Source organism: Homo sapiens, chromosome 2 (assembly GCF_000001405.40).
Source record: "Homo sapiens chromosome 2, GRCh38.p14 Primary Assembly".
In the NCBI taxonomy this organism is placed as follows: domain Eukaryota; kingdom Metazoa; phylum Chordata; class Mammalia; order Primates; family Hominidae; genus Homo; species Homo sapiens.
The window spans coordinates 115,459,340-115,476,915 of record NC_000002.12 but is presented as its reverse complement, the minus strand read 5'-3'; the positions used below and the strand labels follow the sequence as shown (position 1 = coordinate 115,476,915).

The 17,576-nt window shown below is 38.1% G+C and overlaps 1 protein-coding gene and 1 pseudogene across 24 annotated transcripts in view, besides 1 other annotated feature; both read right to left on the bottom strand.

The window, feature by feature from the left end:
- Positions 1-17,576, bottom strand: part of DPP10 (dipeptidyl peptidase like 10) — a 1,403,140-nt gene that overhangs the window by 368,865 nt on the left and 1,016,699 nt on the right.
- Positions 1,331-1,516: a silencer, noted in NCBI's record as "fragment chr2:116232976-116233161 (GRCh37/hg19 assembly coordinates)". NCBI's record gives its function as "represses an EF-1alpha promoter that drives an FKBP-Casp9 reporter gene in an ReSE screen in HepG2 liver carcinoma cells {active_cell/tissue: HepG2}" and the evidence as "EXISTENCE:reporter gene assay evidence [ECO:0000049][PMID:32094911]".
- Positions 7,963-8,931, bottom strand: RPSAP23 (ribosomal protein SA pseudogene 23; annotated as a pseudogene).

Here is a 17,576-nt window from a genome sequence, read left to right as displayed (position 1 = left end):
GTAATTTTTATCTTTCATTCTGTTAATGTAGTGTATTACATGATTGATTTTTATATGTTGAACCATCCTAGCACAGGAATAATCCCAGTGGGTCATGGTGTATAATCTCTTAAACATGTTGCTAAATTCAGTTTGTTAGTATTTTGTTGAGTATTTCTGTAACAGTATTAACACAGTTTGGATGTTGTACTCTCTAAATTTCATACTGAATGTCATTCCCCAATGTTGGAAGTGGAGCCTGGTAGGAGATGATTGGATTATGGTGGCAGGTTTCTCATTAATTGCTTAGTGCCATATCCTTGGTGCTGTCCTCATGATAGTGAGATCTTACAATATCTGGCTATTTAAATATGTGTGGCATCTTACCCCTAACTTTTTTGCTTCTACTCTGGCCATGTGATGCATTGGCTCTCTGTATTTGCTTGTTCTTGTACTGCTACAAATAAATACCTGAGACTGGATGATTTGTAAAGAAAAGAGGTTTAATTGTCTCATAGTTCTATAGGCTGTACAGGAAGTATAGTGGCTTCTACTTTTGGAGAGGCCTCAGGAAGCTTACAATTATGGTGGAAGGCAAAGGGGGAGCAGGCATGTCTTACACGGCTGCAGAATGAGGGAAAGTGGAGAGGTACCACACGCTTTTAAAACATCAGATCTCATGAGAACTCACTCATTATCACAAAACAACATCGAAAGGAAAATCTGCCCTGTTGATCCAATCACCTCAAATCAGGCTTTAGGTCCAGCATTGGAGATTACAATTCCACATGAGATTTGGGTATGGACACAAATCCAAGCCATATTATTCAACCCCTGGCACCTTCCAAATCTCATGGCTCTCTTACATTTCAAAATACAATCATATCTTCTCAAGAGTCCCCCCGAGTCTTAACTCACTCCAGTATTAACTCAAAGTCTTATCTGAGACAAAGCAAGTTCCTTTTGCATATGAGCTTGTAAAATCAAAAACAAGTTAGTTACTTCCAAGATACAATGTTGGTATAGGCATTGGGTAAATATTCCCTTTCCAAAATGGAAAAATTGGTCAAAAGAAAGAGGCTATAGGCTCTGTGCAAGTCTGAAACCCAGAAAAGCAGTCATTAAATCTTAAAGCTCCAAAATAATCTTCTTTGATTCCATGTCTCAATCCAGGTCACACTGACGCAAAAGGAGGGCTCCCAAAGCCTTGGGCAGCTCCACTCCTGTGGCTTTCTAGGGTTTAGCCCCCACAACTGTTCTCATGGGCTGGCGTTGAGTGCCTGTGGCTCTTCCAGGCTAAATGTGAAAGCTACTGGTGGATCTACCATTCTGGGGTTTAAAGGATGGTGGCCCTCTTCTCACAGCTCCACTAGACAGTCCTCCACTGGGGATTCTGTGTGGGGACTCCAACCCCACATGTTCCCTCCACATTGGCTTCCTGGAGGTTCTCCATGAGGGCTCTGCCCCTGCAGCAGGCTTCTGCCAGGACATCCAGGCTTTTCCATACATTCTCTGAAATCTAGGCAGGAGCTCTCAAGGCTCAGCTTTGGCATTCTGTGCACCCATGGGCTTAACACCACTTGGAAGCCACCAATACTTACAGTTTGCATCCTCTGAAGTGGTGGCCTGAGTTGTACCTGGGCCTTGTTGAGCCATGGCTAGTGGTGAAGTGACTGGGATGCAGGGAGTAGTGTCCCAAGGCTGCACAGGTCCGTGGGGCCCTGGACTTGGCCCTCAAAACCATTCAGACCTCCTAAGTCTCTGGGCCTGTGAGGAGAAGTACTGCCATGGAGGTCTCTGAAATGCCTTCAAGGCCTTCCCATTGTCTTGGCTATTGGCAACTGGTTCCTCATTACTTATGCAGATTTCTGCAGCCTGTTTGAATTCCTCCCCTGCAAATGGCTTTTCTTTTCTACCAAATGACTAGGCTGCAAATTTTCTGGCTGGAGCTGGAGCAGAGTGAGATATGGGGAGTAGTGTCCCAAGGCTGAACAGGGCAGTGGGGCCCTGGGCTTGGCCCATGAAACCATTCAGTCCTCCTAGGCCTCTGAGCCTATTATGGGAGTGGATGCCACAAATGTCTCTGAAATGCCTTGGAGGCTCTTTCCCCATTGTCTTGGCTATTAGTAATTGGCTCCTCTTTACTTATGCAAATTTCTGCCACCTGCTTGAATTCCTCCCTGTTAAATGGGCTTTTTTTTTTTTTTTCTATCACATGGTCAGGGTGCAGATTGTCCAATCTTTTACACTCTGTTTTTCTTTTAAATATAAGTTCCAGTTTCAGGTCATTTTTTGCTCGCACATACGAATATAGGCTTTTAGAAGCAGCCTGGCCACATCTTGAATCAGTTGCTCCTTAGAAATTTCTTCTACCAGATACCCTAATCCATCACTCTTAAGTTCAAAGTTCCAAAGATCCATAAGGCATGGGCAAAATGCCTCCAAGTTCTTTGCTAATGCATAACAAAAGTGATTTTTTGTATTAGTCCGTTCTCACGCTTCAGAAAATCTGTGGCTGAATTTCTAAGCAGTTCAAGTCGATATGGTCTATGATGTTTTCTAATTCCTACCTCCATGGGCTGAACCCATTAGAGCCTGGCTAAGAGGACAGAGGACTCGTGTCTTCTCACTTTCTTCTCTTATCATATGAATGCTTTCTTTGTTTTAGTTTTCAAACTTCTCAAAACAGAAAAGTTTTCTCTTGAACCTTGAGAAAAATCTTGGTGTCCTATTGCAATTTAAGAAACAATTTCCCTTTGTGATTATGAACATTCAGTGAATAATAGTGTGTGTTCATAATTGCCATTGCCATTGCAAAACAATCTACCTGAGATCACAATGTATAGGGATTGTTAGATATTGACAGGATTGAGTCATTCCTGAGTTAAAGGTCACGACGTCATCTCATAACACCATCAATTTCCACTCTACTTCCCCAAACCTCCCATCCTAATATACACACACTAACCCAATGGGAATTCAATGGTTCCAGGTTTTCACTGATTCTATATCCCATCAGTAAGATGCTTTCTCTCTTTCGTCCACAATAGCTTTATGAGGGAGTCAACAATAAACCAGACTCCAGTCATTGCTATGTAATGTACACACACACCTTGGAGGTCTGTATCACAGGAATAAAAATAATGTTCTCTATGTCACAAAAAAGTAGCCTAAGCCAATATTAAATAATTAATTTAGATTGATAAAATCCTAAAACTCTAAGTAGTCATAAAGTTAGCTGATTTCTAGAGTGTTACATAAAACAGCAGCCTTTATGCTCCTACATATTCTCCATGGCAGCCAGCCAGACAGAGGCTTTGGAAGACAGAAAACTCATCCTGGAGCCATTGAAGTTTATTCCTGCCCATTCTGAAAAATTGGCTGATATTGATAATTGTTATAAAAAGTTTACCCCATGAGTCTCACAGGCTGCCAAGAATGTAATTGGGCTGAAATGGAAGGCTGGTATAAAGCTTGCATCTGGTTCTGAGTCAAGGAGCCCTCACTCATTGACTAGCATCAAGGGAATCTTCTTTCATTTAGGGAAAACAGATGGAACAATTTGACTCTAATAGAGTTCATTTTAAGGAACTGTCCCAGCTTGTCCCAATGATGGCAAGTTGAATAGGTTCTCAAATAAATAACAGAAACCAGTAGAAGTTGAACTTACTAACCCTGGCTCAAATAAATCAAATCAGATTAATAATTATTAGGCATCTACTATGTATGAGGCATGATCCCATTCATAATTTTACCAAAATAATATTACAATGCTAATTCTGATCCCATTTTTCTACTAAATAATGATAACAAAATACAATATGTTATAATAATTAGGAAATGTTCCAGAACACGTTTAGACCACATTTTCATTTATTATATTGCCATGTGGTTTTAGTAAAAGTCATAGCATTTACATGCACTCTTAAAGTGGAAACTTGGCATATTCTACTGTCTGTAGGGGCTACAGCTAACTTCCAGGATAGCTTCCCAATCTTCTTGTATGACCTGCTCAGAAGTCTAACAGGCAAATACATGCCTTCTAGAAATTTTGTCAAGCGTTTTGAATCTTTTAGATTTTCAATTCTACAATGATTGCTAAAAAGAGTATCCAAAAATCTCTGTACTCTGAAGCCACTGCAATACTGCAGCAACAAAATTCCATAAGCATTTATTGTTTCTATATCTTAGGCACTAACTAGTCTATATACTTGAAATAAAGAAATGAATAGCACATTCTTCACCTAGTAAAGATGCACACAGTAGAATGGGGCAGGTAGGCAAATAAAACTATTTCAATACAAAGAGGGGTGCTGTAATTAAGAGTAAAGACTTGTGCTGTTGAACAAAGGTAGCAATTAGGCACATGTGTTCTAGAATGCTAGTCTGAATCAAGATCTGCTTTAAGTTTAAAATGTACACTGGATATGAAAACTCAGTGTGAAGAAATAAAAAAAATCTCATTTTTATAGGTCATATGTTGAAATGATATTGAGAATAAAATAACAGTACAATGAATTTCACCTGTTTCTTTCTGCTTTTGTAATATATCTACTTGAAATTTTTTAAAAATTGCATAGCATTTTTAGTTCATATTCGACTTCTAATGGACAGTCCTGTCACAGACCTCTTCAAAATTTGTTCTACCATTAGCTGTGAGACATTGGGTAAGTAACTTAATTTTCTTTGCATTATTTTCTACATTCATAAAATAGGACTGATGATAACTACAGTTGTTTACTGAATATGCTTGTCAGAATGAGTAAATGATTTAAAACACATAAAGGGTTATTATCATTAAAGATAAGCACAGAGCATGCAGGCACCTAGAAGGATTGCACAACACAGCCAGGAGAATTAATCTCAAGGAATGTTTTTTTATTTTTTTAATTTTATGGTTTAACAAAGCCTTGAAAAAAATGTTAGAAAGCTGTTCCAGTGCAATCAGATGGGGAGAATATTCCAAAAATAGGGAAAAATATAAGTAATGTCACCAAAACTTGAAAGAATCCTGGTCTGGCTGAGTGAAGTGGCTCACACCTGCAGTCCTAGCACTTTGGGAGGCTGAGGCAGTTGATCACTCGAGCCCAGGACCCCAAGACCAGTCTGGGCAACAGCGTGAGACCTTGTCTCTAAACAACAACAACAACAACAACAAACAAAAACAGACAAACAAAAAAAGACTAGTCTGGCATGGTAGCGTATGCCTGTGGTCCCAGCTACTCAGGAGGCTGAGGTGAGAGGATCGCTTGAGCCAGTGAGGTAGAGGCTGCAGTGAGCAATGATCATGCCACTGCACTCCAGTCTGTGTGAGAGTGTGAGACCTTGTCTCAAAAAAAAAAATAAAAGAGAGAAAAAGAAAAGAAAAAGAAGAATCCTGGTCCATTTCACAAACTGAAAGTGGTTTTCAAGATGTAAGACTGCGAACCTCTCAGAAGCCGGTGGTGGAAGGAGAGACCAGAGAGCAAGGTAAGGGCCAATCACTGCACAGCCTTATACTATTCTAAGGAATTCGTGGAATTAGGTATTCCTATAAGATTAACTCTACTGTCCCAGGAGAGGCAAAGGCAATATTCAAAGAGAAGAAATGAAATGGCAATAAGTAGTCATGTATGTTACTGAAACACTGATACAAAGGCTGTCTGAAGAGAAAAGCATATTTTTCCTTTCCCCACTTAGCTGACTCTCAAGGTAGGATGCTTTTGAGTAGGTAGTGAATTATCCTTTTCTATGAATTGAACCTATTAAGCCAATAAGCCTCCAAACCGTGTATATGCTTAATGAATTTACTGTAATATTGGTTATGAAAATAAATTATGGATTTTAGAAATTGTGCATGGTCCACCAAAATAAATATTAATGCTCAGATTCTATTATCATTATGGATAGACAAAAAAAACTCATAAGATATTTATCACTTACAAGAACATAATAGAGGTAGAGAGACATACTCCAAGGCAAAAGAGAAAAAGTTGAAAGCTCTTCTGGAAAGGTTCTCTTTGTCCAAGAGCTGCAGATAGTTACAATATTATGTCATGAGGGCAGTAAAATAATAAGAAAGGTGACTGTCTGGAAGAAATATGGTGAAGTACATTTGTAAATGTAAGAGATGTAACTGTTAGAAGTGAAATAGACAATACATTAGACAGATCATACATTAAAATGCAAATCTCACTGAGACTGGGGGAGAAGGGGATAGAAAACCAAATTTTGAAAAGAACAAGCAATATAGAGAAAAAAAAATTATGCAGAAATGGCTTTGATGTTGGGACAGCTGATTGGAAAATGCTCACACAAACAGTGATGGAATGTTACAGAAGCTATCAAAACCCAAATCCATACAAACATTCCAATCGTTTCTCTTCTGGATGGAGTTTTTTTTCTCCTAGTCTGAACTGCAATTACAAATAATGGGCTTCGAACCCTCTCAACCAGTGCCCAATGAGAGAGGCATGTTTATGCTTTCAAACATTTGGCCATCTACTTGTTCATATGCTATGATTTGATGGCCAGGTTTTTTTCTGTGCCATGAAACCCTGGTCCAGGATGAAACTGAAAAAAGATGGTGCAGTGACAGGATGATAAATGAGGTTCACCACATTAAAACGTTGGGTTGTCCTCTAAAATTTTTGTAACAGAAACAGTTTTACCAACATGTCTGCCCTGAAACACATTCTTCTTTAATGTTTCAAAGTCAAATAAGCAATGCCCACAACCTGTAAGAGGACTAACAGGGAAATCTCTTTTTGCTTTACCACTAGATATCCGAGTTGAACATTCTTGCTTTAGAAGAGGGCAATTCATAGGTAAGGATTTTGATTGTTTGTTGTAACTAACCAAATTCATATTTTGAAAATTCCCAATTAAAAAAGCCATTTTAGGGTTCAGAGATTCTATTTAGCAAGGATTCTTCATCTTAAAACAAGATTTTCCACGTTTCATTTAAAAATGGAATTAATCCAGTGCATTCAAAATGCAATACAATACACAGATTTTAACTGATATCCACATTTTAAAGAAACTAGTTTTTTTTTTTCTTTTTTTTTTTTTTTCTCTTGTTGCCCAGGCTGGAGTGCAATGGTGTGATCTCAGCTCACTGCAACCTCCACCTCCCGGATTCAAGTGATTCTCCTTCCTCAGCCTCCCAAGTAGCTGGGATTACAGGAAAGTGCCACCACGCCTGGCTACTTTTGTATTTTTAGTAGAGATGGGGTTTCTCCACGTTGGTCAGGCTGGTCTCGAGCTCCCGCTCTCAGGTGATCCACCCACCTTGGCCTCCCAAAGTGCTCGGATTACAGGTGTGACCCACCATGCTCAGCCTCGGAAACTAGTCTTAATAGAACCTGGGACGTTAACTTTTTAAAAAGTAATTTCAATCTGTAATCGTAGAACCTCTGAAGGGATATTGATTCTTTAAACAGATATAAAGTTAAAGTCAAAAAGGTCTTAGTTGTAGAGAGGCAGCACACTCTAAATATCAGAACTTTAAAACTGATTATAGGCTAAAATCACAAAGTAGAAAATGACAACCAGTAAATTTGTCATGTGGTTTCACTCTCCCAGATAGCTTTGTACAGTGTCATCTAAAATTTAATCAGCAATGTGAAACTAGATTAAATTTAATTTGAAATTTCATTTTAGAATAATTTCAGTTTGAATACTTCTTTGGTCTTTCTTCATGCCCTTCTAAATAGCTTTAAATTCATAACTTTATATTTCACTTTCCTATTTTCTTTAGACAATAATGTTTATTTTCCAACAACCTTATTGCCATGTAGCTTAAGAACCTCGAGACCAGCCTGGCCAACATGGTGTAACCCCATCTCTACTAAAGACACAAAAAATTAGCCGGGCATGGTGGTGCACGCCTGTAATCCCAGCTACTCAGGAGGTGGATGTTGTAGTCAGCTATCGCACCACTGCACTCCAGCCTGGGCAACAGGGTGATACTCCGTCTCAGGAGGAAAAAAAAAAAAAAAGTATCTATGAAAGAACAGCTTAAGACCACTCAGCGGTTGTTCCTACCCATTCAGTGGCCTGAGAAGTGGGAGTTGAAGACCAGTCTTCTGTGGCAGTCTTGAGTGCTCCAGTCTTCAGCAGAGCCCTGCTGAATAAGCACAGAGGGCACCTGCACACCTTGAGACCAGTCTGCAACTTCAGCCTGAGTAGCAGCAAACTCAGGAGCTACAGTAGGCCATTCATCCTGAAATTCTTCTTCCTTGGTCATAGCTTTTTCAGTAGCAGCCTGCTCTTCCTTTTTAATCCTTCAGGATCTCTGTAGAAGTAGAGATCAGGCATGACCTCCCATGGATGTTCATGGGAGATGGTGCCACACAAGTGCAGAACTCCCCGGGCCACCATCAACCACATTAGCCCCACTGAGTGAGCTCCTTTGTTGAGTGGGATGGCAATGTCCACATAGCACAGAGGAGAATCTGTGTAACACAGAGCAATAGTAAGCAGGTTAATAAAAGATGCCTCTGTGAGAGGACAGTGGCCAGCCCTGGGATTATTAACCACTAGAAGCTGTGGCTCCTGAAAGGCTGCCAGGATCTGGTTAGTGAACATCCCAAGAGTGAAGCAGCCAGCAATTGGAGTTGCTCCAGTGGCAGCAGCAAACTTTGGCAGAGCCCTCTGGCCAGTATTCCTGGAGGACATGACACTGACATCAGTTTTCAATGGCAACAATGACACGAGCGGTCAGCAGAAGCTTCTCCTGAGTCCTCTTCAGATTTAGGATATAGATGCCATCACTTTTCCTTTTCCAGATGTACTGATCCATTTAGAAGTCAAGGTTGGTGCCACCTAAGTGGGTTCCTGCTGTAAGAAACTTGAGGACATCCTCTACCTTCATTTTCAAGACATCGCAGGTTCCAGACATTGTAAAAGCTTCCCTTTAAGTTACAGCGGGAATCCAGTACCATCTGGGCCCTTCTCTGGGTAGCACAGAAAGCTCAATTTCCTTAGGAGAATCCTTAGGATAATCTTCATGATTCTCTTTATTCTTTCAGATTCCTTTAACATATATTTAGCAAAACTGTTGCATAGTACTCTAATAAAGCCCTGATTCTGCTATCTTTGTTTGTAATCATTCCTGAACACAAAGCTATAAATTTTGCTTCACAAGGTCCTGCCTGTATGCAGAATGTTCTAGTTAATAAATATTCCATTGTAGTCAAAAGTCAACACTTCAAGTGTCATTATTCTAATAATAATTTTTCAGATTAATTCCAGATGCCTTGTACTCTTAAGTTCATCATATTAAATTGCAGTGCAGGTAGCAGTTAAATCAACCTCACAGGAATAGTGAGCATCACAGTTAATTTTCTCTTTTTTTCAGTGTCTCTTTTTTTTTTCTTTGAGTCAGAGTCTCGTTTTGGCACCTAGGCTGGAGTGCAATGGTGTGATCTCGGCTCACTGCAACCTCTGCCTCCCGGGTTAAAGCAATTCTCCTGCCTCAGCCTCCTGAGTAGCTGGGATTACAAGTGCCCACCACCACACCCAGCTAATTTTCGTATTTTTAGTAGAGATGGGGTTTCACCATATTGGCCAGGCTGGTCTCTTGACCAGGCTGGTCTCGAACTCCTGACCTCATGATCTGTCCGCCTCAGCCTCCCAAAGTGCTGGGATTACAGACGTGAGCCACTGCCCCTGGCCAGTGTCTCTTGTTTTATTTGTGGATGTGTTTGTGGTTGTTGGGCATGTGTACACATGTGCATGTGTGTGTGCAAACATGCATGAGTGTACATGCATGTATTTATCATTTCTTTTTATTGTCATCTATGTTCAGATTTCTGCTTTTCTTCTTTATTGCTCCCTTAAATTTTCCCCACGCCTTCCAAATTTCTGAAGGGAAAATTTAACCTTTTATAACAAGGTAAAAGAGAGTGCTACATTCTTTCCTCCAAGAATCTGAGTTTTCTCTTTTTCTTGAGGGTTAAGGAACTTCACTGTCACCAAGAAGTACTTCCTCAAAAAAAATTGAATTCAAAGAAAATGAATGGTAGAAGAGTAATCAATGCTTCTACCAGGTGCCAGGTGGTTTACATATATAGGCCATCTCTTTAGTATCACAACTCTTCCAGGAAGATATTATTAACCACCATTTTACCTGTGAGTAAACAAACCTAAAGAGATCCAGTAACCTGTCCCAGTCATACTGACAACAAAAGTAGAACCCAATATAGAACTACATTTCTGACAAGAACATCCATATTTTAAGGGCTACATCACAGTATATCAAGCCTCTAGAAAGCCAAATTCTAGACAATTAATATTTTATTATGTAACCCTTTCTATTTTTCACAAAAGTAATAAGATGTATATTACTCTGTCATCTTAGATGTTAATGTTACTGTACATATGATCAGCATTATATGTGGACTAAATTTAATTTATTGTAGAATACTCTTAATAGGAAAGAAGTTTTGGCAATAATCACCAAAAGTTAAAGTAATCTAAACTACTTTATAATTAATACATCAAATCAGACTAGTTTTCATTATGATTTAGTATAATAATATTTGTAGGACTTTCCTATTTGTGGAAAATGACTCTATTAGAACATTTCTCAAATTGTGTTCTGAGGAATAGTAGCTCTACAAAATGTTACATGATGCTCCAAATTATGGGATCTGTGATATTAAAAGTTAAAGAACACCACACTATAATTCCCATATCAGACGTTTTGAAGTGAATACTAAAGGTTCTAAAGAGTCCCAGGTGGGAGATAGGGAGACAGGATTTCTCTGGATTGGTATTTCCACATAAGTTTCTAAAGCAAAGGTCTATCAGTTTATAGAGTAGAATACAATTCAGTTAGAATTTGTAGAAAAACATCTTGGTGATGTTGATAAAAACATTTTTACATTTTCACTTTCAAATCAGTAGATACATAAACAGTAATAGTGAGTTCTTTTAAAATATAGTTACCTGTAATTACCCATTATGGAATGGGTAATTATCATTTTTAAAAAGGCAAATTATTATGAAAGTTAATTCACTTGGGAAACGATAGTGTTTGACTCATGGCAAACTCTAAACTGTAGATTTATCAACTAAATGACAAAATGTTGTGCTTATTATTTTCAATTTATTTTATTTTTATTATTTTTTGAGATGAAGCCTCACTCTGTCACCCAGGCTGGAGTGCAGTGGCACGATCTTGGCTCACTGCAACCTCTGCCTTATGGGTTCAAGTGATTCTCCTGTCTCAGCCTCCCGAGTAGCTGGACTACAGATATGCGCCACCACCCCTGGCTAATTTTTGTATTTTTAGTAGAGCCAGGGTTTCACCATGTTGGCCAGGCTGTTCATGAACTCCTGACCTCAGGTGATACACCTGCCTTGGCCTCCCAAAGTACTGGGATTACAGGCGTGAGCCACCATGCCTGGCCTACATTTTCCATTTTAACGCATTTAGACTTTCCTCAAATCTTAATCCTTAATTTTCCACAGTTGGGCAAGGATATTCAATATTGCCATTCTCATATTCTGTGTGTAATACTTTGACACAGTACACTTTATTTCAGTAGTTCTCCTTCCTCAGTGTGAAAAATATAGATCTTTTAAAGTATAGTACTTCCAAAGCCTATAAAATCTGTTTTTATTTTTAGTCATATTTTAATATATATTTTATTCCAAGCTTCACATGCGTAATAGGATAACCGTGTGTTTTAAAAGAAATAACAGCATTACGTGCAAAGCTAGAGGAGTTAACTGCTGAATTTATGAGTGTGTATTACTACAACTTACAAAGTGTCGATGGCAATACCTATATAAGTAATAGGAAAAATATATTGTAAGTATTAAGTAATACTTAGGAAACAAAAAGAAAATTAATTTCCTCTTTATATTGTTGCTTTTTAAATATATTTTCTGCTCTAAGATGTTACCAAAAAGTGTACTGTTCCCAGGCAGACTGTGTTAGTGACTTGTTCTTTTTAAGAATATAAAAGGAGAACGAGACCATGGTATAATTAAACAGAAGACCTTAAGAAAGGACGTTGGTAGATAGGAGCCTTTTAGACTTGAGATTATGGAAATCTAACTGTGAACTGAGTAAGTATGAACCTTAGATCAAGGACACCCAGTCTCTGCACGTTGGAGGGTTCTCTCTCCCTCCTCTAGCTCACTCCTACTCATGTGGCAAGGATTCCATAAGGCCAAGGGGAGGCCATAATTACCTATTGATATTATACCTGTCTGGAATCCATCCCTACCCAGGACTCTGAACATTCCTCTCCAAGCCCTCTGCCCTGGTCTGTGAGAGTTCATTCCCTGGGTTTTTCCTCTTTGCAATGAATTGAGCCACCTATATGGGCATCTCTGGGCCTGAGGAGTAGCATGTGTAAACAGTTTCAACATACAGGCTGGGGCATTCACACATGTTTGTTTGAAGCTCTCAAGATGCTAACAGCCTCAGGGGTGAAAAAAAACCTAGTGTTAGACACAGGGCAGGTGTCAGGTGCTAGTTCTCCTGTACCGCTGTTTTTTTTGTTTGTTTGTTTTGTTTTGTTTGTGTTTTTTTTTGGCTGCAGAACTTTAAGGAGTCAGATGATTCTCAATTCAAATCTGGCTCTCCAGACCATTAAGAAGATATTTTTGTCAAGGTAGAAGGATAGCATATATTTTTAACAAACTGTCAGATTGATTCATGAGTTAAATATTTAATGTAAAACTAATAATCTCCATTTATATTCTTGTTCTAGCTCCAAAGACATTATGACTGGGACTGCTCTATCACATCACCCTTCACTAATGGAAACAGACACATGGTATCATTTGAATCATTTCAGGGTAATCTAGAGTAGAGTTGGACCGGCAAAGTGGCCTGGAGGTTGAACAGTGAGGACCCTATAACAATTGAAGCCGTGATTCAGAGAGCCTATGTCACCATCATGAGCCACGAAGAGCTTGGGTAGGCAAGAGAGGACCACCAGTCTCTACTGGACACACAAGAAATATGCCACTCTGGACTCAAACAGTTTAGGAGCTCAGCCATTATGACCAACAGAGAGACCAGCAACTGCAGGAATATAGGAGAAAAAAAGAAAAGGAATTCACATTTGTCGCAGGGCATCACAATGCAGGGATCTTATCTCAGCACTAAGAGGTTAGGAAGTCAACCCTTCCCTCAGATGCCACTTTAGGGTAAGGAGGTAGAGAGGTACTGGTTGAGAGACAGGATTTTTAACCAAGAAAGTCAGCACTGCCTAAAGGGATACTTGAATCTACAGCATTATAGACTAATGTGAGATTAGACGCAAATGGACCAAAATAAAGTATGATATCCCAATACTCATCACATAAGGAAGACCAAATCCATTAAAGAAAAAATAAATTACACTTTGTGTATTTGAGGTGAAGGATAGACAATTTTATGGCATCACTACTTATGGACAGATATGTGTTTATGTAACACTCTATATATTTAAAAAGCTGCTGACAGTTTTATGATCTTTTACCTATGCTTCCTTCCATCCTAAAAACCTCAGAAACCTTTCCTTCAACTATCTCTTCTGGATTTCATTGATGTTAAAACTATACACATTTAAATTTTGAAAGCATCATAATTAGTTCAGCTTAAATAAATCACATAAAATATAAATAGTAGTCAGTAACTTGTCAAGGATTTGGTGTTTACCATGTGTCAGATGCCAGGTGTGGTATAGGAATCTCAGAGCTGAATCAGTTATGGAAATGCTCTGCAAAGAACTTACAAAGTAATGCATGTATAGAAATAGGATGCTGTAGTGGTATAAGGAAGAGTTGGTCATTTATCCCTCAGAGGAATATGAGTAATTTCCAAATGCAGTTGACACTGGCACAGAGTAGCTATTTCACTAGATGACCCTTTTTGTGTAAGGTTATTCCAGATAGAGAAAATAAATTAATTAAAAATTATAGGCTGGGCGCAGCAGCTAACACCTTTAATCCCAGCACTTTCGGAGGCTGAGACAAGCAGATTGCCTGAGCTCAGAAGTTTGAGCAGCCTGGGCAACATAACAAAACCCCAACTCTACTAAAAATACAAAACAATTAGCCGGGCATGGTGGCATGTGCTTCTAGTCACAGCTACTGGGGAGGCTGAGGTGGGAGGGTTGCTTGAGCCTGGGAGGCAGAGGTTGCAGTGAGCTGAGATCGTGCCACTGCACTCCAGACTGGGTGACAGAGTGAAACTCTCTCAAACAAAAGCAGGAACAAAAACAAAAAACATCAGAGCAAAGGGAAAATAATCACTAACTGCATAAATATACATTAGCAAATATTCTTTATAATACTTTTATTTTATATATGTGTGAGACAACCTATTACGGTTTCGGATTCTGTATTCAATATTAAATAAACTTATTAAATATGGTCGGGTTCTATAATTGCTATTGAAGAGGTGGATAGGCTTCATATCATGGAGGACCTTGTCCTCCATGTCATACCATGGAGGTGTGTCATACCAAGGAATTTGGATTCTAACCTTTTAGGAAATGGGAAATTAGTAAAAGATTAAACTTTAGGAGTTCACATAACCAATTTGACACTGTAGTGATCACCTTGCTGCTGCAGAAGTATTAATTGTAGAAAAGCAGTAGGCCAGGTAAAAGATAAATGGAGCCTGAATTAAGATGGAAGCACAACAGTAACTCCAGGGGAATGGATCCAGGAAGTGTCAAGGAGGTGGACTGATGGGACTGGAATACAGTTCATAGGGAAAGGACCAGGAAAAGGGAGGCATAGAGGAATTCTAGACCTCTGTCTTGTGTGACTGGTAAGTGACGGTATCATTCACAGAAGTTTGGAGAGCAGAAGATACAAGTTAGTGAGGAACAACAGGGAGTTCAATTTTGAACATGTTAAGCTTGAGGCACCTTTGGATTGTTGAAATCCCAATTCTTTAGAAGAAAATAGTAAATTAAACAATGTGTTAAAGGCCTAAAATACCATTCAATTTCTCTAAGTTTTAATGGAATAAAAGACATTCCAAAGGTCCACACGAAAGGGCATTTATTAAATTATGCCTTTAGTTTATGTGAGTGAAAGAGAAGAAAGAAACAGAGAGAAAGAGCAAGCCTGGAATTAACTCTATACTCAGTAATTATTCCACAATCAGAACATCGGAACAAAGGGAAAATAATCTGTAACTGCATTAATATATATTAGCAAATATTATTTATAATACTTTTACCAGCAGTACTGGTACACATTATCATCTATTATATAATGAGAGAGAAAATAAACCATTTTTATTTATTTTCTAATCCTTATTGAGGTATAGTTGGAAAAAATGTATATATTTATGGTGTACAATATGTTTTGATGTGCCTGTATATTGTGAAATGATTACTACAATCAAACTGGTTAAGACATCCATTACTTCACAGAGTTACCAGTTTTTGCTTATAAGTGTGGTGAGAACATTTAAAATCTATTCTTTTTAGCAGTCTTTAAGTATAAAATATGATATCGGTTAACTATAGTCACCATGTTGTATGAAAGATCTTCAGAACTTATTCATCCTGTGTAACTGAAACTGCACCTTTTGACCAACATCAACTTACTTTGAGTCAAATTTTCATATAACAAAATCTACCCATGTTAACAGTATTTAATGGAAAATTTAATAGACAAATATATACAAGCATATAACCACCATCACAATCAAAACATAGAACATCTCTGCCACTCCAAAGAATGCCCTTTTAGTCACTAGGTTTTAAATTTTACTAAAAAAAAAAGCATCAAATCAGTCATTTAAGACTGACTATTTTGAGCGTTTGAGATGACAAGATATTAGTGTAAACTTGTTTTATTCATCTTTTTATTCTCAACATAGAAGCCACAGGGGAGCTAATAAATACCAATAGGTTAAATAACAACTTTTTAAATTCATCAACACGTTTCCATTGCATTTAATTTATTTTTATCTTTGAGGCATATCTGCAGAATACACACTATAGTCAATCCCCCATAACTCTGAAATATAACGAGAAATTGTCACTTCTCTGACTCATTATGAAAGACAAGTTCCTGCCCTCATGTGGAACAATCAATCTCATATACAAAATAGACTTTGCCATAGCAATATAGCATATTTCCAGGCAATATGTTGTGATCAGATTCATTTGATAGTACTTTAATTGCTCAACATACACAGCAACTCTTCCCTCTTCTCATTCTCAAGACCTGGCAGTAGCCAGATCAATTTATGCTCAGTGTACCCTCCAGTGATCTTCCTATGCCATTTCTCGGGATTCTGATAGGGCAGCATGAGAGACATCCAGAATACAACAGTAGGGACAATATCATGTAACTCTACCCTGTCAAAGTAGCAAATTTTCTAAGAAAATCTACAGGCAACCAGCCAGGAAGAATAGCCAGTTAGATAACTTGAGAAACTTGAATATATTTGTAAAGAGTAATAATTAACTTTAGACTGTTAAGCATTTTCAAACTCCTACAAGAAAAGCAACACTTAAGTCTAGATCTAAATAAGTGTTTTAAAACACAAAAATGAAGAAGACTGCTTTTTTACCCATGGGAATGTCACCTTGGGAGATATTACTTGAGTTCAAATAGATAAAACTCCTGGTATTTCATTATGTCTCTTCTACTTACGTGCCAAGAGAGAATAACTAATAGGGAGAGAAAGAAAGGTTTTATATTTGCAGGTCGTTATGAAAAATGTAAGCCATTCATACAACAGAGTATGTGATTACTTATGTGGACACCAGGTAGAGTTAATGGGCCTCTGAAACCTATTATATCAGTCACTAGAAAGTACCTATAAAGCTAAAAATTGAAACTCACATTACCACTGAATATTCAAATGAATACTATGGTTACTAATTCTACAGAGGAAAATGTACTACATTTATTACAATGTTCTGAGAAGAAAGAAAAAGATAAATGTACTTTTACATCCTTGAGGACAAATTTCATATTCTATTCTGTTTTATAGCCACAATATCTAGTATAATAATGCAAACAAAGGTGTGTGTGTGTATATATATATATAAAATATATGTTTTACTATGTAAGCCTTGAAAATAATTTTACCTATGGGTGGTCTAATAACATGGTAGTCCTTTCCAGCTTGTTCTTTAGTCATAGAACCAATATCAAATCTCAGAAGTTAGAAATAATTCCAGTCATTCAACTGTTGGAAGTTGGACAGATTTTATGTGAATATACACACACAATTTGAATTCATATTATATTTAGTTTTTGTTTCTCACAATTTTGATGTTTACAATATCTTTACATGGCCCAAATTTCCTCAAATTGCTTTTTTATCCCTAGAGAGTAGTCAGTTAAGGAGAGAGCTGGTGGTCACTCCCAAAGAATTAAATTGAGTATATATTTTATGTATCACAATGCTAATATTGCCTGCATGAAAAAAATTGAGATCAATTATAGCCATGGTAATCAAAACAATAGAAACTCTTTCATGTGGTTAGAAAACTTTATATTAAAATCAAACTCACAGCCGGGCGTGGTAGCTCATGCCTGTAATCCCAGCACTTTGGGAGGCTGAGGTGGGTGGATCACCTGAGGTCAAGAGTTCGAGACCACCCTGGCCAATGTGGTGAAACTACAGCTCT